This window comes from Homo sapiens, chromosome 6, assembly GCF_000001405.40.
Source record: "Homo sapiens chromosome 6, GRCh38.p14 Primary Assembly".
Taxonomy (NCBI): Eukaryota; Metazoa; Chordata; class Mammalia; order Primates; family Hominidae; genus Homo; species Homo sapiens.
In genome coordinates this window covers 14,856,367-14,878,954 of record NC_000006.12, presented here as the reverse complement: position 1 = coordinate 14,878,954, position 22,588 = coordinate 14,856,367, and the positions used below count along the sequence as shown (strand labels likewise).

The following is a 22,588-nucleotide window of genomic DNA, read 5'->3' as shown; positions in this document are numbered from 1 at the left end:
CCAGAAGACAACTCCACCTGATATTTGTTGTAAAGGCCCTTTGAGTAGGATTACACTGGGCCTTCTGGGAAAGGAAAGGGATGAAAGAAAATGTTCACAGTTGAGAAATTGAATTGGGTTGGTGGGTAAGGAGTGGGGGAGTCCATGAAATTAAGAGCAGGACTGGCTTTGGGATCTCTAAACATGGGAGGTCCTGGGCCCTGAAGGGGTCTAGAATAAGCCAAGGTGGCATAAAAAAATTATTTTGAGCTGAAGGCATTTGAGTTCATGAAATCTCTTATCTGCCTAAAAGCAGAGCCTCCCAAAAGAACTCAGTTTTTATAAATCCCCTCCTTGGAAGCAATTCTAATCTTCTCTTCTTGGAAATGAGAAATTGGTACCACAGTCAAACAGATATTGTTACAAAAAGATCATTTTTCCCTTTTATTCTCCTATGGGCACATTTGTCTTTCTAAAAAGTCATTTGTTTTCCCTAAGTGCCATTTCTTCTCCATTTCTAAGTAGTCATTTGTTTTCCCAGAAGTGCCCCTCTGCCCCTCCCCTTCCCCTAATAGGGTAGCATATAAGCCCTGAATTCTAACCACCTCCTTGAGACTCCTTGAGTCTTTGTGAATTCCAGTGTGTACATATACAATTATAATCTGTTTTTTTTCTCGTCCTCATCTATCTTTTGCCAGTTTAGTTTGCACATCCCCAATCACCGCACCTAAGAGGGTAGAGGAAAAGTTTTTCCTCCCAGACAGTCCCTCTTGTGCCAAGTGCCTCCTGAGGATTGTGGCAGGTTGCCTGTAGGGTTAGGGTGGGGGTCCCATGGGTGTATCTGTGGACACAGTGGCTACATGGGGGCTCCCTGAATTCTTTCAGAGTAGGATGTGCTGATCTTGCCAGGCAACCAGTGCTCAACAGAAGCAGAGAGAGAGGGACTGTTGGCCACAGTGGCAGCCCCCACAGCTCAACCTCCTGGTACATTCCTTCCCTCCTCACATATTCAAGTCCTGGTACCACATAGCACTCACAATGCCACGGCGGGGGAAGGAAGCCTCAATAATGACTGAGACTGAATTTCCTACCAGCTAGGCAGGTGGGGATCAGAAGCAGAATAAATTTAATTCAGAAATATAAAAAATCCTATTCTTGCCTCTTTGCGTCAAGAGAAACATTCATTCCTTTTTCATTTTTCTTTTTGTTCATTGTTTAAGAAGTCACAAGAACTACAAACCTAAAAAAAAAAAAGTCTACTGGAGAAAAGCCTAACATTGAGAAAATTCTAGAAAATTCTATCCATTAACTTAATCCCATCCCCTAACCCTGGGGTTATGAAAATGTCACCATTTAAGAAAATTTTTAGCAGCTGAACACCTCAGTTAGTTCAGTGCTGTAGGAATGCAGTTAGAAAAACCATATTATCTCATGGGGTAAGGCTGCGCACAGGATGCTGACATTTAAAACCCAGTGTCCAGCATGACACAATGATGTTATTTATAGACCGAGAAGGATCTAGGACAAATGTGATGCATAGAAAGAAATAAAAAGAAGGAAGGAGCAAGCCATAGAAACCCGAGGTTGAATCGAGGAGGAAAACCCCCAGCAAAAAATCTGAGACACATCAAGCTTTTGTAGGGTTCATGTTTAGCAGGAAGTTGAAATGACTCACCGTATCCTGTTGTACTCGCCCTGTGATTCCATTTATCCCCTCCAAGGCTTTTAAAGCTCTGATTTGTGTAGGAAAATCACACAGCATGTCAAAGAATGACTACGCTCTGGTTTTACACATCCGTATTTTTAAACAGCACAAAATGGTTGTACTTCTCAATATCGAAATCTGACTGGGGCCTCTCCTGCTTGACCTTGCCCTGGAGGCTGCTGTCCTTCCATGGGTGGGTGCCCAGGCTGAGCTTGCACGGGCTCCTTCATGTCCCCCTTGGTCAACCTAGGTGAAGAGGGGAAGAATCCAGCTCCCACCATGCACCTTATTGACAGAAGCCTTCCTCAGATGAATATTCATGAGCAGCCTAAGTTTCTTTGGCTTTTCTGTTTACTAGTTTTATTAGCTCTTGAGAGGGGAGAGAGAGAGAGAGAGAGAGAGAGACTGGGGGAGACAGAGAAAGAAGCTGGGTGCGGTGGCTCATGCCTATAATCTCAGCACTTTGGGAGGCTGAGGCAGGAGGACTGCTTGAGCCCAGGAGTTCAAGACCAGCTGAGCAACATAGCAAGATCCCATCTCCATAAAAAAAGAAAAATAAAAATTGAAGAGAGAGAGAGAGAGAGAGAACTTTCCATAATTAATAGAGATAAGGTCAGCAAGATAACTCTTTTTTGCTCTTTTCCTAATTGCCCCTTCCTGGGGTGATTCCTTTCCTAAATGGGCCTCCTCTTAATCCTCAAGCTATTATGATATAAAAATTAAAGTGTGATATCCTGGCTCGCCCATTTCCTATTAATGGAATGACCTGTGGTAATCAATAGAGGAAATGCAGGAATGTTAACAGATGTGTGGTTCTGTTTGAGAGTCTCCAATTAAGTGATATGTCTTCAAGGTGGAAAGATGAGATCATTTTGAAATTAGTTTCTTTTTGGCTTTTTAAGTCTTTGGTTATTATCAATTGCATTAAAAAAACCAATTGGAAAGGAAAATCGATCGGTGCTGAATTCCTCCCCCACCTGAAGTCTTCATGCTTCCTCAGGTGATAGGATGCTAGAGAGGAAAATTTGGAATTAGCTTTTAAAAGGAAGAGAAATGACGGTGTAACCATCTGCCAAATACATGGAAACAACAACAACAAAAACCTCATCATTCACCTGGCCTGGCAAATAGGTTTGTGCATTTTTTTTCTTTTCTGTCCACCCTGTTGTTTGTCAGAGGTTGACCAAGAACTTGTCCAAGGGCCATTCCTGTGGTGTCATTGGTTAGAGACTTTTTAACAATTTCAAGTTCTGGTGAAATACTGTGAGTAAATAAAGAGAGAATTTTGCCTGAGTTTAAGGGGCTTTCCTGGGAGGTAATGTATTTTGTGGCCTAACACTTCATTACTTAGCCTGCAGATCTGGTTTCTTTTGAAAACAAACCCTAAGTCTGGAACTTTCCATGCTGAGAGTCCACGTCAGTTTCAAGAAGGCCTGGTAAGATGTAGCTGAGTAAAAACGAGACTCAATATGAATGATTACTGCTGTTCTTTCTCACTGGGAAGCCTGGGGACGTCAAGGATAAAATGACCTTTTGTACAGTGGTGATATTTCTCCATGTCTCAGCCTTTTTATCAGCATAACTATGGCCAAACCCAGTGCTTTTGTGGAAAACATTGGTAGCACCGTCATCTCAGAAGTCTTTATGTAACTTCCCATAGTCATGTCAGAGGAGATGGGGATACAAATCATCAAACGCTTCTCTTTGGATTGTGCAAGTCAGCAAATCAGCTCTGGCGATTTCCAAAGAGCTAAGACTACCATCCCTGGGTATGGTCCCTGAGTCTTCTTTCCCCATCCTCTACAGCCCCCACTCAAAGAAAGTGCCTCAAACAGATGGAATGACGCAGAGGTAGAATTGCAAACTTCAGAAATGCATGCTTAAGAGGGCAGGTGAGCCGGGTGTGGAGGCTTACATCTGTCTTCCCAGCACTTTGGGAGGCAGAGGAGAGTGGATTGCTTAAGCCCAGAAGTTCCAGACCAGCCTGGGCAACATGGCAAAACTCCATCTTAATGAAACATGCAAAAATTAGCTGGGTGTGGTGGTGCACGCCTATAGACCCAGCTACTCAGGGAGGATCACCTGTACCTTGGAGGTCAAGGCTGCAGTGAGCCATGATGGCACCACTGCACTCCAGCCTGGGCAGCTGAGCGAGACCCAATTTCAAGAAAAAAAAAAAAGGCATGTGATTATTTTCTTCCAACATCCATCTGTCCCCCAAGTGTTGTAGGTCCTTCTGCACAAAAGTTCCATACCCTCCCTTCTCCTTTGGTTTTCTAATTTAAGTGTGATGAGTAGCAGCCAGCCAAGTGAAAGAAAGGCCTAGGGATTTCAAAGGAAAGATACAAGGCTGGCGGCAAAAAGGAAGGGCTTTCTCCTCACTGGGCCCTCTTCAGTGGCTTGAACTGTGAGACTCCTGGAGGTATCAGCGCTTGGTTCAACCCTAAAAGAAGTTGCATCAGACATGGCAACTTTGGCCTGCTTTGCTTGTATTCTCTGTGGCGAATGGAGTATTAATAAGTGGCTCTCTGGGGAAGTTTGCGCAGCTCATACTAGAAAACAAATAGATACGTAAAGTTCTTGAATGATGTAGATGTGATGCCATATCTGCTCTCCTTCCCATAATTTCAGAGAAAAATCAAGGACGATGTGTGGTGAACATAATTCCTCATTTTTCCTTTATCCATGAAATATTTGCTTTAAAGCAGCAGCTAAAACCACAGGTTTTAGTGAGCAGATTATTACCTTTCTGAGAGACACAGAGATTAAGAGAATGGTCAGTTGCTTGCCACTGAGTAGGGAAAAGGGAGAAAAATTATGATTCAAGGCATTTTCTCTGCTTCCAGTTAGCTGCTGGGGGGGACTGGATTATGCTTCTCCAATATCTGAAGGGTTGTTGAGCTGAAGGCAGTAAGAAGCAAATGCAGGAAAGCTCTCATCTTCCCCTCTGGTTACCTAAAAGCAGGACATAGATTTACAAAGACAAAAGGTACCCTGGCCACCCCTCCTCCCGGAGAGAACAAAGGTTAACCACTGAAGGCAACTTTGTACTCTTATTGGCCTGGAGATGGAACCAGAGGAATCTACATTAACAAGCTTTACAAATGAGCCTTTGACTGATAGTTATTTGCCCCCCTCCAAGTTACCACCCATAAAGATTCAAAATCCTTTGCTTTTGTCTTGCCACTTTTTTACAAATTTCATAGCCAGCACGATGGCTCATGTGTGTAATCCCAACAGTTTGGGAGGCTGAGGTGAGAGTATGGCTTCAAATCAGGAGTTTGAGACTATCCTGGGCAACATAGCAAGACCCTGTCTCAAAAAAAAAAAAAAATTAGGCAGGCATCGTGGTTCACACCTGTAGTCCCAATTACTCAGGAGGCTGAGGTGGAGGGATTGCCTGAGCCCAGGGTTCAAGACTGGCCTGTGCAATATAGCAAGACCCCATCCCTAAAAAATAAAAAACACCTATCAGGGTGGGTGCATGCCAGTAGCCTCAGCTACTCAGGAGGCTGAAGAGAGAGGATCACTTGAGTCCAGCAGGTTGGGACAGCAGTGAGCTATGATTGTGTCTCTGTACTTCAGCCTGAGTGACAGAGCAAGACCCTGTCTCAAAAAAGAAAAAAAAAAGTTTACTATTTGTTGTTGAAAATGCTATATAAGCTGGAATTCAAAGCCACCTCTTTGAGAATTACTCATTTTCTGGGTATATATGAAATATACATGGTAATATGTGACATATACATGGTAATAAACTTCTGTTTGTTTTTCTCTTGTTTTCTCTTGTCTTTTGTAACAGGGGTCCTTTCCAACCAAGAACCTATGGGGTCTAGTCTTCCCCTACACTGCCTTTCACTCACCACTGGGCTGCCTGCTTTAAGCTAGGAATCAAGAGACAGTGGCCTTCCACAGGTGCCTCGACAGGTGCCTCAGCTTCCAAACAGACACAGGAAGGACCCCAGCATGGTAGCATTCATCTCATTCACCTTTATTGGGTTAAAAGTGTGTGAGACACAAAACTGAAACTTGAAAGTTAAGAAACTTGAAAGTTAAGTAACAGCTTTTCTCTGTCTTCGTATTTTTCTCCCAAATACATGCAATCTCTAGAGAACTTCAAGAAAACTTCCTCTCTAAGCAGCAGAGAATAGCTTGCAGAAGAGGGAAAAATTCAAGATCTATTGTATTTTATTGATTTATACCTGGTTTTGTTCCAAAATTGTTGTTAGCTGCATGCATAATTAACTCTACCACTGACTGCCGTGTAACTTACTCCAAGTTCTCTTTATTGTAGTTTCATGCACGGCCTTGGCATATCCAAAGATTAATGAAGATGGATCCAAATCCTTACTACTAAGCAAAAAGCCTCCAAGCAAATAACAATGGACTGAAGAGTTACCTTTGTAGGCATAAACGTATCATTACAATTAAAGAGATGTCAAATGAGCCAGTTGTGTGCTAGATAATGCTGAGGCTCAGGACACACTACCACAAAACATGGTACCTTTCCATTTGAGAAAACAGCAGAAGCAGGAAAGTCACTCTCACCTTCCCCACTGCCCTTCTCCCCTGAAGCAGGTCCTAAAACCTGTGACGGATTCTCTGACCTTCACCTAAGCAGGTCATAAGACCCTCGTTATTTGAGAGGTGCCCTCCTTGTACCTGGAGGAAGGGAATGTCCCTATCTCTGAAGACGGGCACAGGAAGAATCTGAACAAACAGGCCTTCCTAACTTCCCCACAGTTATTACCATGAGGTCAGACCCCCTTTGTTCAATCACACTTCTCCATAACTGTCCATTTCTTCCTCAAACCTAGCATCATAAATACCAGGTTTCCTTGCTTCTTTGGATCTTCCTTTCCTTATGAAGGCTCCCATGTCATGTAAAACCTATACATACATTTGTTTGCTTTTCTTTTGTTCATCTGTCTTTTGGTACAGGGGCCTCAGTCATGAACCCAGTGAAGGGTGACAAAAGAAATATTTTTTCCCCTAGAATGCAATAGCCCACTAGTGCTCTCAAAGATGCTGGACTTCTCTGTGATGTTATTTATCCAGGAACATTGGAGAACTAAAGGTGATAAGAAGAAAAGAGGCATGGAAAGCCAATAACACAGCCAGTACCTTTGGCCAATTGAAGCTGGCCAACTTCAAGCTATCACTGGGCCTTAATAATTGTACAAAGGGATGGGCAGTTCTGGGGCTGCACCCACATATCTGTGAGCTCTGCTCGGCGGTGTTTTGAGGATAACCCTTATCCCAGATTTTTCAAAGTATTGTGGTCTTGATGGCCAGTTTCTTACGTACTCCAGATGACTACTGCCATGCATGATTGCAAAGGCTGTGCAAATATCAAGGACGGTTAAGGTGCTGGCGCTTTTTGTGACTCAACCTCCTTTTTCTTCAAATCTTTATTTTATTTTCCTTTCATAATGTAACCAATCTTTCTCACAAAAAATTGCTTTGGGTTGCAGTGGAGAAGAATTTTAGGATTTTCCCGACCTGTCTTATATTGCTCTTTAACAACTTGTGCCTAAACTATGGATTTTTTTTTTTTTTTTTGTCTTTTAAAGGTATGGAGTGAAGAATCAGTAGTTGGTCAAGGGGAAGTGTCACTGGAAAACCAAGATCCCCAAAGGCTTAGTTTTTTCTTTTTTTCCTGCTAACATCTCTAAAAAGAATTTTCCTGCAGAGCAACAGTAACATAAATTGACAGACAGCTGATGTGTGTTCTTAGCAGTTTCATTCATTGGACAGCCTTGGTGATTATTATATTTCTCTCTCTACGACACTTGACTCATTTACCAGCCTCATTCCTGGTGACGCGTGTGCTGAAACACGCAGCCAAGTGTTAGTACCAGGTGGGGTGATAGGCCAGCTCCCTGCCAGTTGCATTTATTTAGAGTGAAGAGGACAACATTGAAGTGGCATGAACAAGGCCCAGGGAAGGCTCCCAGGAAGGAGCCAGTCGACAGATGGCAAAAGAGACTCAGGGTATCTTTTTGCACAGGGGTCTCCAAATAGCCAGAGGATCTGTGCTCAGGGCATTATAAACACATCACCTTATGTTACCTTCATCTGTGTCTACCCAGCGGTAACTCTGATTTTTTTTTAAATTGTGTTTGCAGGTTAGCTGCTTCATTTGGAAAAAACTAGGAAGAGCACCGTCACCTCAGCTTCAGCTCTCCTCTTGTTTTTTCTTGGTTCTCTCTGTTCTTGCCCACCAGCCCCATGTGTCAGGTTTGAATCTAGGCTGGTGAATACATTTTGCAGGAGATGATATGTAACTAGGGTACCGCTTCTCTTTCATCATTATTCACTTTTTATTTCATCATTCTTCACTTTTTCCTTGGTCTGCTTTCATCTAACTAGGGGTGCCTCGGCTGACAAGGTGGACTTCTCAAGTGAGAGGTTGTATTTTCTCTCTTCTTTTATTAGACATGTGGAAGTTTGGGCTCATAGGACTAATTAGACTATTGAGGAAGTGATGGGTAAAAGTCTCACACACCTTTCTTTCTTCCTTGATAGTGTAGGGGAAGAAAAATCATTTTTTTCTCCAATCTTCATAACTTCTTAGTTGGAATGGACCCCTGTTACAAAAGACAGATTAACAATTGAAAAACAGTTTATTAACGTGTATTTCACATACCCAGAAAATGAGCCTCTCAAATAGGTGGCTTTGGATTCCAGCTTGTATAGCAAGTTTAACAATGAACAGTAAAATTTTAAAAACAAGACAAAGGAAAAGAACTTTGAGTCTCTAGAGGCTGGTGGCAACTTGGAGGAGGGCAAATAACTGTCAGATAAAGGCTCACTAGTAAAGCTTGTTAATGTAGATTCCTCTCCAGGCCAATAAGGGCCCAAAGTTGTCTTCTCCCTGGTAGGCAGTATATCTTTTGCATTTTGGTAAATACAGAGAGAGCAGAGAAATTTCCTGTATCAGCTTTTAAATTGCCTTCAGCACAACAATGCTTCATAGTCTGGGGTGGCATATTTTGATCTCCCACAATATGTATCTTGAGGTTATTTCTGGAGACAGAGGAGGCAGGCCTGTTGTGTTTTAAAGAGTGATATTTATACATGTGTAACAAAGAACATATTTTGCTGACTATTTTTCACTCTATGAACAGGTGGTCTTGCTGTGGGGCACTTCCTTGAATCTTAAATCGTTGATTACACATGAAAATGTCTGCATTGCAGACAGAGAGACAGCACTTATGAAGATGGGGTGGCATTGAGAGGACTGGGATGTTCTGGGATACAAGAGTGATCAGAGTACCTGGAGCTTGGGAGAGGAGAGGGGAGAGGAGAGGAGAGAGAAGGCTCAGAAGTGCTTTTGAGCCAGATCAGGAAGGGCTCAAAGCCTTGCAAAGCAGTTTGGGCTTTTTCTTGAAGGTGAAAGGAAAACCTCTGAAAGATTTTATGCAAGGACTGGCCAGACCATTTTCACATTTACAAAATATAATGATGGCAGAATGGAGCAGCAGTATGGAGAACAGCTGAGGGGCACAGGTGATGGACAAGATGTTTGATAAAGAGGTGATTGAAGTAACCCATCGGAAAAATAATGATGGCCTGAACCAAGTACGTTAGGAGATGAACTTGAAAGTTATTAAGAAAGTAGAATGGGTGCCCCTGATTTCTATCTTGCCTTTCTGATAGCCACTAGAATGGCATTTGGTGGCTCCTTTCTCTTTGTGGATAGACATGTGTTATTGGGGGGAATAAAGGGCCCAGTCAAAAACCTAAGTCTTCCAGACACCGTTGCAAGGGGGCTAATGAGATATGGCCTAAATGACAGGCTGGGCTTCCGGAAAACTTTTAATGGGGGCTTACTCAGCTGGAGGTGCCTTAATTGCATCTTCCCTCTTTCTCTTTCTTTCTGCCTGGAACTTGGGAATAGCCATCTTGAATGTAGGGAGTGAGTTGAAGGATTTGAGGAGGGACTCGTTTATGGCTTGGCTGAAAGGGTAGATGATAGTTGCAAGACACGGAACGTAAGGGAGATTTAGGGGCCAGGATGGTGCATTTTGTTTTGTACATGTTAAGTCTGAGGAATCTCTACGATGGCCAGTCTGTGTCCAGGAAACAACGGGATGTGGACCTGGGCGAGAGAAATACACCTGGAAACCATCACTTGCCAGAGAACAGTTGACACGATGGAAGTGTATGAGGTCCCTGGGGAGGGTGTCTGAGAAAAGGGCCAAGGGCAGAGCCTGGGGAGCCCAGCACTGGGGCATGATGCAGCCCTGAGCAGGACAGGGGAGAAGCATCCAAGGAGCTGGGGAGACGCCCTGGAGAGGGCAGTGTCCTGGACATCAAGGACATTCAGAGGACACAGTGGTCTCTAATGCCACAGTAAGAAAGGACTTAGGGGACAGTGGGGTCAGGAAGGAAAATGGCCAGAGGACTGCTGCTTTCTACAAAAAAGACTCTCAGAACCATCTACACACAGAAGGTGGCCACAGGCGCAATTTGTGTCATGATGCCACCACACTTGTGATTCTCTGGAGTCTTGTAATACCCTGTTATTGGTTCCTTTTTTAATACAATTCTCTCTCCCATCAACTTATCTATCTCTCCAACTGTGTCAATGATATATTTCACTTAAGATCAAAATGAATGCACATGCATTAAATGTTCATTTTAAGTTCTTTCTTTTTCTTTTTTGAGACGAAGCTTTGCTCTTGTTGCCCAGGCTGGAGTGCAGTGGCGTGATCTCGAATCACTGCAATCTCCACCTCCCGGGTTCAAGCGATTCTCCTGCCTCAGCCTCCTGAGTAGCTGGGATTACAGGCATGCGCCACCATGCCCGGCTAATTTTGTATTTTTAGTAGAGATGGGGTTTCTCCATGTTGATCAGGCTAGTCTCAAACTACTGACCTCAGGTGGTCTGCCCACCTCAGCCTCCCAAAGTGCTGGGTTTACAGGCGTGAGCCCCCTTGCCCAGCCAAGTTATTTCTTGATAAAGAGTTTTGGGGGATCCCTTGTAGCACACCGATGTGAAACCCATCGAGACTGGATTCTGTGTTCTGTTCATTAAATACGTCACTGTGAAGGACTCTGATAGAAGAGAAAAAAGGCTTTTAAAGAAGGTTAAAAAAAAAAGACAAGGCAGTGGGCAAGAATGCTTTGGTTTTCCTTGTGTGCTGTGGCAGTGGTACCAACAGAATTTCCTTCCCCCATGGTGGGACCTATGAGCTCAGGGCCTCTGCCCTTTGCCACATGCTGAACTGAGGTATCATGAGCTGGATCTGTCTTCTGTCTCTAAAGTCAAAGTAGGATGATGCTTTCTTAACTTCTAATTTATTTTCTTAAACTGAGAAGTGAGGAGTATGTCTTCTGGGGAATGTCCTCAGATTGCATCAGCCAGGAGCCGTGAGGACCAGCTCTCTCCCTGGTCCAGGTCTCTCAAGGATGCTCAGAGAACCTGTTCTGGCTCTGGGCAGCTTCCTGCTTAGAGTGATGAAAATAATTGTTTTCTCATCTAAATGACTGTTGAGCGATGAACTCATTGCTTTTAGGTCTCTAATAGGGCACTCCCCGGGGAACAGGTGATAGTCCTCATCTGAAACAATTTAATTGGGAAGAGATTTCACTTGGTATCTCCAAGAAGGACCCCAGGCCCTGCTTCCATAAGCAGTGCCTTGCCACATAGGAGCTGTGGCTGCTTCTTGACCCATTAGCTAGGTCAAGAGTGTTAAGAACACTCTGAACATTTACTGGGAACTCACTGGATGTAAAGTTTCTCTTTAAGATGTCACATGGTGACAGATTCAAGATATGATGCCTGCTCTCGAGTGGCTTAAACTCTCCATTTGGGTGAAGGTTAGAGAGGAAGAGGGAAAAACACTCTTGTTTGAATGCATCAATTTTAGGCTAAATATCTAGAAGCATATGCATTATAAACACATGATCCATCACAGGTATAAACATGAAACTCCACTTATCTGGTGTTCACTTATTCAATCAGCTCAGCTATCCAGAAAAAAGCTGAGATCTCAGAGCAGACACAGTTTATTAAAAAAAAAAAAAATTAGGATTCTACAGTTCAAAAACTTTGCTTGCATTGTTCTGAATTCATTTCCTCTTATTTTGGATATATTCTAGAAAGCTTTTCCAGAACATACCAGATTAACGTTGTGGAGGTGAGCTGGCCCAGGCAATGGCAATAGACTGCCTAGAAGGAGCTGGCCCAGGCAATGGCAATAGACTGCCTACAAGGAGAAGTAATTTCTGAGGACCTCACATTAAAGCAATGGTTCCCACACTTTTCAGACATGCTTTAGCATCCTCCGGATATCTTTCATTAATTTTTAAACTCAGGCCACTCACAAAATGGATTAAATAATAATCCCTGGACATGGGAGTGGGGGGAGGTGGGGAGGTGGGGTGAGCTGGGGGTTGGGTGGGTAATGGAGGACACACAGGCATCGGTAGTTTTGGAAGCTACTCAGGTGATCCAATGCACAGACAAGATAGGGAGTTATTGCATTGGACGTTAAGGATGAACAAGCAGATGTTTCACTGTGTAGTATTCTGTGGCCATTTTGTAGTATTCTACAGCCATTGCCATTTTGTGTCAGGGCAAGTACTCTTCACCTTTCTTTTTTTCTTTTTTTCTTTTTTTTTTTTTTTTTGAGATGGAGTCCTGCTCTGTCACCCAGGCTGGAGTGCAGGAGTGATCTTGGCTTACTGCAACCTCTGCCTCCCAGATTCAATTGATTCTCCTGCCTCAGCCTCCTGGGTAGCTGGGATTACAGGCATGCATCATCACGCCCGGTTAATTTTTGTATTTTTAGTAGAGATGGGGTTTCACCATGTTGGCCAGGCTGGTCTTGAACTCCTGACCTCAGGTGATCTGCCTGTCTCGGCCTCCCAAAGTGCTGGGATTACAGGCCTGAGCCACTGCACCTGGCCACCTTTCACCCTTCCAAAAAGCAGCCTGTACCTTCCTTAGGTGCATGAAGGTGAAACAATGCCCCGAACAGGCAGGAGGGATGTGCTTTCCTCCCCAGTCACTGGGAGTCCTGGGAGGTATCACTGCATTACAAATATAACCCACACCAAAGGCCCCTTTTCTGTCGCACAGAATCTGTCTCCAAGGATTCTCTGGAAATGGAAAGTGGGAACTTGTGGGCCTTTGAGATGGAGCATAGTATAGTTGTCTTCCTTTGGGTTATAGCCTTCAGAGAGGTGCTCCTTTTCACCTTGTACAGCGTGGGCTACAAGAGGCTCTTGCCACCTTTTGCATGTGACCAGGGAGGGAAATGGACACCCCTCACTAGTCAGAGGATATTACACATCAATGCCCCCCCACATCAGTGGACGTTTCTTTTCACAACTTCTTTCATTTCTTCCTGTTTCAGTGTCTAGAACTTCCTGTTGCCACACTCTGCTCCCTTGAACTCCTTTCTATAGAAATAAGGGTGTTCTTGTCCCTTCATCCATTCTTCAGCCCTAAAAATTTCACAGCCTCAGTCATTTGCTAAGGATCTACCACTTTTTAGCTCTTTCAAGCTGCTGTGGTCACAGCAGAGGATGATGTAAGCTCCTCTGCTCCCCTGCATGGGGCGGGAGGGGCCGGAGAAGTGAGGGAAGAGTGGGGGCCCAGGATTTCTCCCTTGATTATAGAGATGTGGTGGAGGATGGGGAGGCAGACGGAAAGAAAAATGTCCCAGCTCACCCTGGCACAGAGACATTGTTCCACAAAGAATGCTCACTAAAAAAATGTTTATACTATCATATTAACTTGTAAAAGAGCAAGCTATAACATTTTATGTTCAATGTAATACATTTTTATTAAGGCATAACTCCCTAAAAATGGCTGGGTAAAAGCCTGGAAAGAGATACACAAATGTTAGCGGTGGTTGCTTTTTGGACGGTGTGACCATGGCGATTAGAAATATTTTTTCCCAACTTTTCACAAGAAACATATGGCTTTTCTCATTTTTTTAAAAAAACGGGGTGGGGGAAAGAGCAATTATTTTAAGCCAGAATGTCCAAAATGATGCCGTCGAGTCCAACACAATATTTTAGACTTTGTTAATTCCTTTCTGTACAGGATAGAAGACAAAGGAGGGGCTAATCTACTTTAGCCAGATCTATCAAGCAAAGCAGTGGGAGTTGTTCACATATAAGTTCTGTACCCCCTAAAGGAGGCCCAAGTTAGTTTCTTGGCCCATGTAATGAATGCTTTCTCTCTATTGACTTTCATTTTTTAATATTCTCTGTCATGTGACATAACAAGTCAATGCTCCATAAATATTGGTCAGTTGAATGAATTAAAGAAAATATTGATGCTTACAGGCAGATAGTTTTCTAGAAAAATCTGCTTATTTTTCTGAATAATTATGAAAAACGACATGATTTCTATTTTAAAAAAAAGAGATAATGTATCTATTGTCGACGGACGGTGGATGTGAGCCATGTGTTGTGTTCATACTCGGAGAATGAAGGAAAACATCAGAGACTGGGTAAGACATAAGCATGATTTTGAAGAAATCAATTGAAATTTTATGGAAAGGAACGAGGATGTTCCAGGCATGTGGATTAGCTTATGCCAAGATCTGATGGCTAAAGAAAGGTGAGCATAGAGGGTGGCCAGGTTGTTGACGGGAGCAGATGGCGTGGGCTAGAAGGATCCTGGCAGGGGTCACTGATAGATAGAGGAGGAGAGAAACCCGTAGACAAACAGATTAGATTTCCCTCTGATGCTGGTAAATGCGGAGCTTTTTGTAAGTTTTGGGGGAAAGTGTGTTCCCAAACACATATCCTGCTCTCTTGCTCCTCTTTCTATGGCAAAGGAGGAGAAATTTCTTCCAGAGACATAAGCAGGAGGAAGCTGGAGCTCTCTCCTGAGTGATTGTCAGTTGCAGAGGAGGTGAATATCACAGGACAAGCAAGCGTGGGGGAGAAGACTGCCTAGACATTCTAAAGGTGCAGTATGGCATTGAGGAGCGGGGAGAATTTTATCCCATCCATGGTTAGCTGAAGGGTTCTTCCTCTTCCTCAGCTCCCACACCCTCTCACCCCCACCGCTGAAATTTCCTGCCTTGTGCTCATCTTTGTTCCAGATACTCATTGCCTGTTTGGCTCTCCTGCACCATTCCGTTTCTCTGCAATGGTTCATTGCTTTCTCAGCAGACTGTGTTTACAGTATACCCAAGACTGCCCCTACAGTCCTATCCCGATAACCACCAAGCCGATTGCACCCTGACTTATCTCCGGAGCTCACACTCTTACTTCCAGGCACCTGCTGGACACATCCTACTAGGTATCTCTTAGGCACCTCTATCACAACATGCCCCAAACTGAATTCATTTTCTTCTCCCTCCAAGTCTGCCTGCCGTTTTCTTTGCAGTCTCAGTTTTAACCCCACTGTCAGACAGAACACCGTTTGCCCTTGCCTACCTCTCACTCACCCCCCATGTCTAGTCAATCACTGTTCCTGGACCATTCATTCTACCTGCAAAATGTCTGTTGATGCCGGGCACAGTGGCTCACACCTGTAGTCTCAGCACTTTGGGAGGCCAAGGCGGGTGGATCACCTGAGGTCAGGAGTTCGAGACCAGCCAGACCAACATGGTGAAACCCCTTCTCTACTAAAAATACAAAATGAGCCGGACGTGGTGGTACAGGCCTGTAATTCCAGCTATTCTGGAGGCTGAGGCAGGAGAATCTCTTAAGCCTGGGAGGCGAAGGTTGCAGCAAGCCGAGATCGAGCCAGTGCACTCCAGCCTGGGCCGCAAGAACGAAACTCCGTGTCAAAAAAAAAAAAAAAGTCTGTTGCATCTCTTAGCTTTTCTTTTCCCTGGTGCTAATTTTGTGTCGTCTCCTGGGTCACTGCTTTCTCCTGGGACAGCATGCTAACTCTTGCCTTCAATTCCTCTCTGTTTCTGTTTTTCCAATCTATCCTCCTCATTTCCTGCCAGGATGATCTTTCTGAAGCCAATCGGATCATGTCAATTTTGCTGAAAAAGCACTCAAGCACCCCAAGTCGTGGCCTAAGGATCAAGCTTCTCATCTGGCTCAGAATATCTTCCCAGCCTCATCTCACATTACCTGTGCTCCTTCCTCCCTTTTGCACAGTTCTCCATCCACACAGAAATATTTCCCATGCCCCAAACAACAGCCTGGCTCCCTTTCCTACTTTTGCACCTGATTTTTCCCTCAATCTGGTTTTCCTCTCATGCCCTGCCTGCGAACCCTGTCTGCAAAATAGCATTATGCACAAGGGGACCCACTGCCCTGCCCCGCTCATCCTTCCTAGCAGCACTTAAGGCCCCCTCCCTGCAAAGCCTTCTCTGCCCTTTCTCCAAGGTTCGGTTAGAGCTTAAGGACAGCTTATTTAATGTGGTTATCTCTCCTCTACAATATCAATTCTATGCAAGGAGAGATCTGAGTTTTATTCATCCAGATCCTAGCACAGAGCCTGGCATGAAGTAAATCCTTAATCTCTGTTTATTGAATGAATGAATAAATACATTCTTTTTTTTTTTTTTTAAATAAAAGTATTGGCCGGGCTTGGTGGCTCATGCCTGTAATTCCAGCACTTTGGGAGGCCAAGGCTGGTTGCTTGAGCTCAGGAATTTGAGACCTGCCTGGGCAACATAGCAAGACCCCATCTCTAAAAAAAAGAAACCATAACAACTAGCCAGACATGGTGGCGCACACCTGTAGTTTCAGCTACTCGGAAGGCTGAGGTGGGAGGATCACTTGAGCCCAGGAGGTCAAGGCTGCAGTGAGCCATGATTGTACCACTGTGCTGGAGCCTGGGCTACAAAGTGAGACCCCATCTAGAAAAATAAATGAGTAAATAAATAAATATATTCCTATTGTTTAATTCAATAATTCCACTTCTGAGAATGCTTCCTAGAAAATCATCCAACATATTAGAACAAAATAAAGATGTTCCTTGTAGAATTATTTAAATGATAACTCTTAAAATATATTTGCCCAACAGTTGTGGAATGGTTAAATCAATTATGATACTTCTATTTCCTAGAGTTTTGTACAGATACGGTGGAAGCTTATGAATAAATAAATGCTTTATTCTTCTTAGATTAACATTTTTTTTCCTTCCAGAAAGGTCCCATTTTCTTTATAACTTTATCCTTCAAAGGTAGACCTCAGTGGAGCATTCTTTTTTTTTGTTTTGAAATAGAGTTTTGCTCTTGTTGCCCAGGCTGGAGTGCAATGGCACAATCTCGGCTCACTGCAACCTCCGCCTCTTGGGTTCAAGTGATTCTCCTGACTCAGTCTCCCAAGTAGCTGGGATTACAGGTGCCCACCACCACACCTGGCTAATTTTTTGTGTTTTAGTAGAGATGGGGTTTCACCACATTGGCCAGGCTGGTCTCAAACTCCTGACCTCAAGTGATCTGCACACTTCAGCCTCCCAAAGTGCTGTGATTACAGCCACCGCGCCCAGCCCAGTAGAACCTTCTTATCTCCCTCTCCTTACATTTGCTTAGAGGGATGAGAGCCTCCTTGCTTGGGGAGGGGAAAGCTATTGGGGAGGGACATTACTGGCCTTTTGTCTCCACCTCCCCAGTGGCTGCTCTGGTTGGGTGGACTGAGGGTTCCCTCCTGCAAGTTCCTGCTGAGTGTGGCTGTCCTCAGGAAACCAAGTCCCCTCTGCGGCCCTACGGTAAGTGGCCCTGGCTTCAGAGGAGCTTGCATTTGACTAGGCCTGCTGTGACTGGTATGTGGGTTTAATCATGGTTTCCTTTTGTGGTGGGGGCAGATATTAGAAAACCCATCTGTTTCCAGCTCTAAGCTTCAGACTCCAATCGGCTTTATCAGAAATAAAGCAGATATTTTGATCTCCATCTGTCTGATTCTGAGTCTTTTAATTGGTCCCACTTGAAGCTGGGTGGGGGCTGGGAAGAGAATGGGGACAGGAGTGTTATTTGTTCTTCTAAAACCCCAATAACTATTCTCTTATTCCACAGTGAAGAGATCAGGAGTTACTCAAATCCCAGCCATCGGAAGGAATCTTAAGCCACATATGATTTCAGAGAAAGTTTCTGCTTTATAGGGCAAAGGGGTGCCTAGGACTGAGCCTTGTATGTGCTAAATGCCTTGTACTATTGAAATGAACGAATAAAGAGGTTTGTGGACAGCAAGCTATAGTTCAAACTCACATATCCTGAGAAAGACAAGTAATGGATTTTCCATTTTCATCTATCAGATGGGCAAAGACCAAAAAGTTTAGTAATCCACTGTGTTGGAGAGGGTGTGAGAAAATACACTACCTCATACATTGCTGGTAGGAGTGTATTTTGTTTAAAATAATCCATGTAGGGCAATTTGGGAGCATCTATTTAAAAATACATATGCACATGGCCTTTGACCCAGCACTTCCGTTTCTAGGAATTTATATTATGGATATACTAGCATATGCAAAATGACATTATGTACAAGGGTATTTATCATCATATCATTTATAATAGGGCAAAGTTAGGAATATTCTAATTGTCCAACAATTAGGGAACTTGTTAAATAAATGCTGCTGCATCTTAATGAATTTTTTTAGCTATACAAAAAAAACGAGGACGCTTCTTACATGCCAACGTGAAGTGATTTCCAAGATGCTGATAAATGAAAGCAATCAAAGTGGACAATATTGAGTATGTAATGCTAGCATTTAAAAAAGGAGAGAGCAAAAATGCATTTGCTTGTAATGCTTTTATCTGAAAATATATAATTGAAACTGATAACATTGTTTGCCTCTGGGAAAGAGAACCAGATGGTTGGAGGGACAAGGTTAGGTGGGAGACTTTGATAAACAGTATTTGTACCTTTTGAATTTTAAACAGCGTAAATGTTATTAAAGTTATATACTCACAACAAACAAATGTATACACTTTGATTTTTCTTTTCGTTTATGTGTTTGTTTTAGCAATGGTGGTTTTGATATATTACCCAGGCTGGAGTACGGTGGCTATACACAGGCGTGATCATCGTGCATCACAGCCTCAAACTCCTGGGCTCAAGTATCCTCCTGCTTCAGCCTCCTCAGTAGCTGGGATTACAGGTGTGTGCCACTTGCACTTAGCTTGATTTTTATTTTTATTGAAAGGAGACCTTTTTATGACGTGGGAGGAAACGTGGCATTAGTTTCCTTAGATAATAATTTCTAAGGATAATTTAGGAAGCATGGATTATTAAGAAGTAGGCAAAAAGGGTTAACACAGTGGTCAGTGTGCAGGTTCCCAAGTCACACTACTTAGATTCACATTCAGGCTCGGTACTTTCTGTGTGACTGTGGGCAAGTTTTCTCTTCAAATGAGGGATAATAATAGTTCCCAACACCTAGGACTGTGGTGAGGATAAAATGAAAGAATGGGTGTGTAACCTGCATAAAGTCAGGTCCCACGTGGTCCTGTCTTAGCTTAAAGTCACTTCCAGAGAAAAGAACAAATTCACAAGGAAGCTTAGTGGAAAGCAAGTCAAGTGTTTACTGTGGTTTCTTAAGAAAATTTCAACAGCATATGCCTAAGAAATACTAAGCTTTAGAAAATTTCTTGGCTTCAACTTGCCCACCCCTCACTTCTAACAGAGCATACTTGAAAAACCCTCCTCAGTGCACTCTTCATCCCAACAGCAGACTTCTCATGCTCACCTGCCATGCTTGCTTTGAGCTATTTTTGTTTGTTTGTTTCTGCCAGAGGTTCTTCCCATTGCAAATATAAATCTTGCCTCTCAGGCTTACAGTATTTTTTCCCCAGTCTGTGAATTAAGGCCTGTGAGCTGAGGATATGGGAAAATGCCAAGGGAATCAAGTCAGAATTTTACTAGTGGAAGTGGAGGTGAGCAGACATAAGAGAGGATGGAAAAAAGGGCTTTAAAAATATTTTTATAATAATAATTTTTTGCCGCTGTTACATATGGAAGGAACTTATAACATTGCTTAGCATTGTAAGCACTCCATAAGTCTTAGCTATTAATATTATTCATAGTAACCACTTTCCTACAACCTGATAGTAATAATAACACCTAACATTTACTAAGAGTCTATTTACTGTGTGTCAAACACAGGTCTAGCACTTTATGTGAATTAATTCTTGTTAGTTTCCCAACACCACCATGCGGTAGGCCCTTTTATAACTCCCATTTTATAGATGGGGAAACAGACACAGGGAGATTAAGTGACTTGGTTGGAGTTACAAAGGAAGAGGGAGAGTCGAGACAGGCAGCCAAGCAGCCTGACTCTAGTTTCCATCTGAGCCATCATTTATATTGCCTTGAATTCACGTTTTCCGTTCTGTTGTAATGAGTCAGGGAACCAGCCAATTCAATCTTCTTATACTGAAAGTTTTCTGAGGGTTTTCTTCTGCTAGTTTTCACAACCCTTAGTGATGAGATCCCAAATGAGATATATAAGTAAACAGTAAGGATGGTGGGTGCCTTCATGTTCCTGGGAGGATAACTGCTGTCATTGTCATTGCCTTAGCTCTTTGGATACGAAAGCTTTCTGGTTAGGAACCAGAGAGAGGCTCCTACCAATGAATTATTAATGAATGCATTTGATATTTTTCTCCATTGCCTCCCCAATTGCCTATCTAAGGAAAACAGTGCTAACCAGATAAATTAAATGCCCTTTTACAAATTGACCTACTCTGGGGGATGTAATGGAATATATATATATATATATATATTTATTTATTTTTTGGTTTTTTTTTTTGAGACGGAGTCTCACACTGTCTCCTGGGCTGGAGTGCAGTGGCGCTATCTGCAACCTCCGCCTCACGGCTTCAAGCGATTCTTCTGCCTCAGCCTCCCAAGTAGCTGGAATTACAGGCGCCCACCACCATGCCCAGCTAATTTTTTGTATTTTTAGTAGAGACGGGGTTTCACTATGTTGGCCAGACTGGTCTGAAACTCCTGACCTCGTGATCTGCCTGCCTCGGCCTCCCAAAGTGCTGGGATTACAGGTGTGAGCCCCCGCGCCCTGCCATGTACTGGAATATTTGTTTCACAGTTGCTAGTGCTACAGTGTGTTTGTGTACTTTTGTATCAGGTTGTCCTGGAGCTGAATCCATCAATTCAGGGGGAGAGAAGGAGGAGGCTGCTCAGAAGAAAGAGTCCTGGCTTAGCTTTGGGTTTCATGTTAGAATTGTTTTGTGCAAAGTGAGAGAATCTTCCAGTCCATGCTTTGCTAAGAAAGAAAAGTATTTCCCAAATTCCAATAAGTTTCCATCTGCCTGTGAAAAGTAGACCCTGGAGGTCTGAGCACTGGGTGTTATTATCTTACACCATGATGTGCAGAACAGAGAATCTGACATAAGGAAATTATCTGTACTGCTGGACATGGAAAACCCTTCTAGTTGAGAGAGGAAGGACTGAGGAGAGAAGGAGAAAGGGAATAGGTGTGTTCTTAGTTTCTTCCTCAGAGTTCCAGTCTCTTGCTGAAGGCGGGGGTGGAAGTGGGGGCGCCGGTGGGGGGACGTGTGAGATGCGGGTAACACATCTCAGATAAGTTGCAGGAAGTTGACACTGAGGGGCGGTGCTCCCACTCCACATTCAGAGAATGAAAGGAGACCCCCCCACACACACCCCCGTGATGGTGCCCGAGGCTGAGGCGGGGCTTCCCCACAGAGAAGAAAAGAGGATGTGACGTGTCAGTGAAGAGAGCCTTACGCGGTGGTTCCACGCTTATGCCACACTGTGTTTTGGTGGGAGATGTGGACGGTAGCTGAGGTGTGGGCTGGGTGAGCCCACTGAGGGACTTCACCGGGGGAAGGGCAGAGTCTTCTGCATACGCAGCTAGAAGGTGGCTGCTGGAGTTGGCATCAATAGGGAGATGAAGCCTGACCCTGGGGCACTTGTGGGACCAGGGAGAGCTCAGGTGGACCAGGCGGTCAGCGGGCGGGAAGGCTAAGGTCCCCGGAGCAATGAGTGGGTGATGCCCCACTCAAAGAAGAGACGCAGAGTCACACCGGCCTTGGTGCTTCAGCAACAACAGCAGTGAGGACAGAGGCCGATGCCCAGGTGCAGGCAGGGGACACAGCAAGGAGCAAGAGCGAGGCCTGAGGCCTTCCTGTCACTGCTGGGAGGATGCCAGTGCTTATCTCTACCCCTACAGAAAGTGGGTAGGCTGAGTCCTGGAGAGAGAGGAGATGCCCTGCAAAACTGGGCACTTACTGGGAGACATTGGGTTACCCCAGAGAGACTGTTCCGAGCCAGGACATATGGAGTTCTTCCCTCCCTGGCTCCCGACACAGTAGTTGGAATTGGAAATTCTGAGCAAGTCAGAGAAGAACGTAAAATGTGTGTGTGCGTGTGTGTGCACACATGTATGTAATGTTGATCTGGTGATGCTTCAGGAAAAGCAGGTTCTTAGCTGAATTTTGTCCCTCCCCCCCCGTCAAATTCATATGTTAAAGCCCTAACTAATCTCCAGTTCCTCAGAATGCGACTGTATTTTGTCTTTTTTTTTTTTTTTTTTTTTTTTTGAGGTGGAGTCTCAGTCAGTTGCCCAAGCTGGAGTGCATTGGCGCGATCTCAGCTCACTGCAGCCTCCGCCTCCTGGGTTCAAGCTATTTCCATGTTTCAGGCTCCTGAGTAGCTGGGATCACAGGTGCCTGCCACCGTGCCTGGCTAATTTTTGTATTTTTAGTTGAGATGGGGTTTCGCCATGTTGGTCAGGTTGGTCTCAAACTCCTGATCTCAGGTGATCCAGCCGCCTTGGCAGGGATTACAGGCATGAGCCGTATTTCATCTTTAAAGAGGTAGTTAAGTTACAATGAGGTCCTATGGGCGATCCTTAATCCACCATGACTGTGTTCATGTAAAAAGAGGAGATGAGGACGCAGACACTCACAGAGGGAAGACCATGTGAGGACACAGTGGAAGACGCCATCTGCAAGCCAAGGAGGGAGGCCCCAGGAGACACCAACT

General features: G+C 44.1%; 1 long non-coding RNA gene across 1 annotated transcript in view, besides 5 other annotated features; it reads left to right on the top strand.

The window, feature by feature from the left end:
• The window catches only part of LOC105374945 (uncharacterized), a 148,669-nt gene extending 130,130 nt beyond the window's left edge, over nucleotides 1–18,539 (top strand). Inside the window, exons 3-5 of the long non-coding RNA XR_007059473.1 lie at nucleotides 2,685–14,620; nucleotides 17,238–17,333; nucleotides 17,638–18,539. This is a non-coding gene — a long non-coding RNA (uncharacterized LOC105374945). The remainder of the gene's footprint in view (nucleotides 1–2,684; nucleotides 14,621–17,237; nucleotides 17,334–17,637) is intronic.
• Nucleotides 1,750–2,250: an enhancer, noted in NCBI's record as "H3K4me1 hESC enhancer chr6:14876936-14877436 (GRCh37/hg19 assembly coordinates)". NCBI's record gives its function as "activates a minimal SCP1, AML or CMV promoter by ChIP-STARR-seq in naive H9 embryonic stem cells {active_cell/tissue: H9 hESC(naive)}" and the evidence as "EXISTENCE:reporter gene assay evidence [ECO:0000049][PMID:30033119]".
• Nucleotides 1,780–1,969: an enhancer, noted in NCBI's record as "active region_24060". NCBI's record gives its function as "activates an Ori minimal core promoter by ATAC-STARR-seq in GM12878 lymphoblastoid cells {active_cell/tissue: GM12878}" and the evidence as "EXISTENCE:reporter gene assay evidence [ECO:0000049][PMID:35858748]".
• Nucleotides 3,033–3,092: an enhancer, noted in NCBI's record as "active region_24059". NCBI's record gives its function as "activates an Ori minimal core promoter by ATAC-STARR-seq in GM12878 lymphoblastoid cells {active_cell/tissue: GM12878}" and the evidence as "EXISTENCE:reporter gene assay evidence [ECO:0000049][PMID:35858748]".
• Nucleotides 3,113–3,182: an enhancer, noted in NCBI's record as "active region_24058". NCBI's record gives its function as "activates an Ori minimal core promoter by ATAC-STARR-seq in GM12878 lymphoblastoid cells {active_cell/tissue: GM12878}" and the evidence as "EXISTENCE:reporter gene assay evidence [ECO:0000049][PMID:35858748]".
• Nucleotides 21,173–21,302: an enhancer, noted in NCBI's record as "active region_24057". NCBI's record gives its function as "activates an Ori minimal core promoter by ATAC-STARR-seq in GM12878 lymphoblastoid cells {active_cell/tissue: GM12878}" and the evidence as "EXISTENCE:reporter gene assay evidence [ECO:0000049][PMID:35858748]".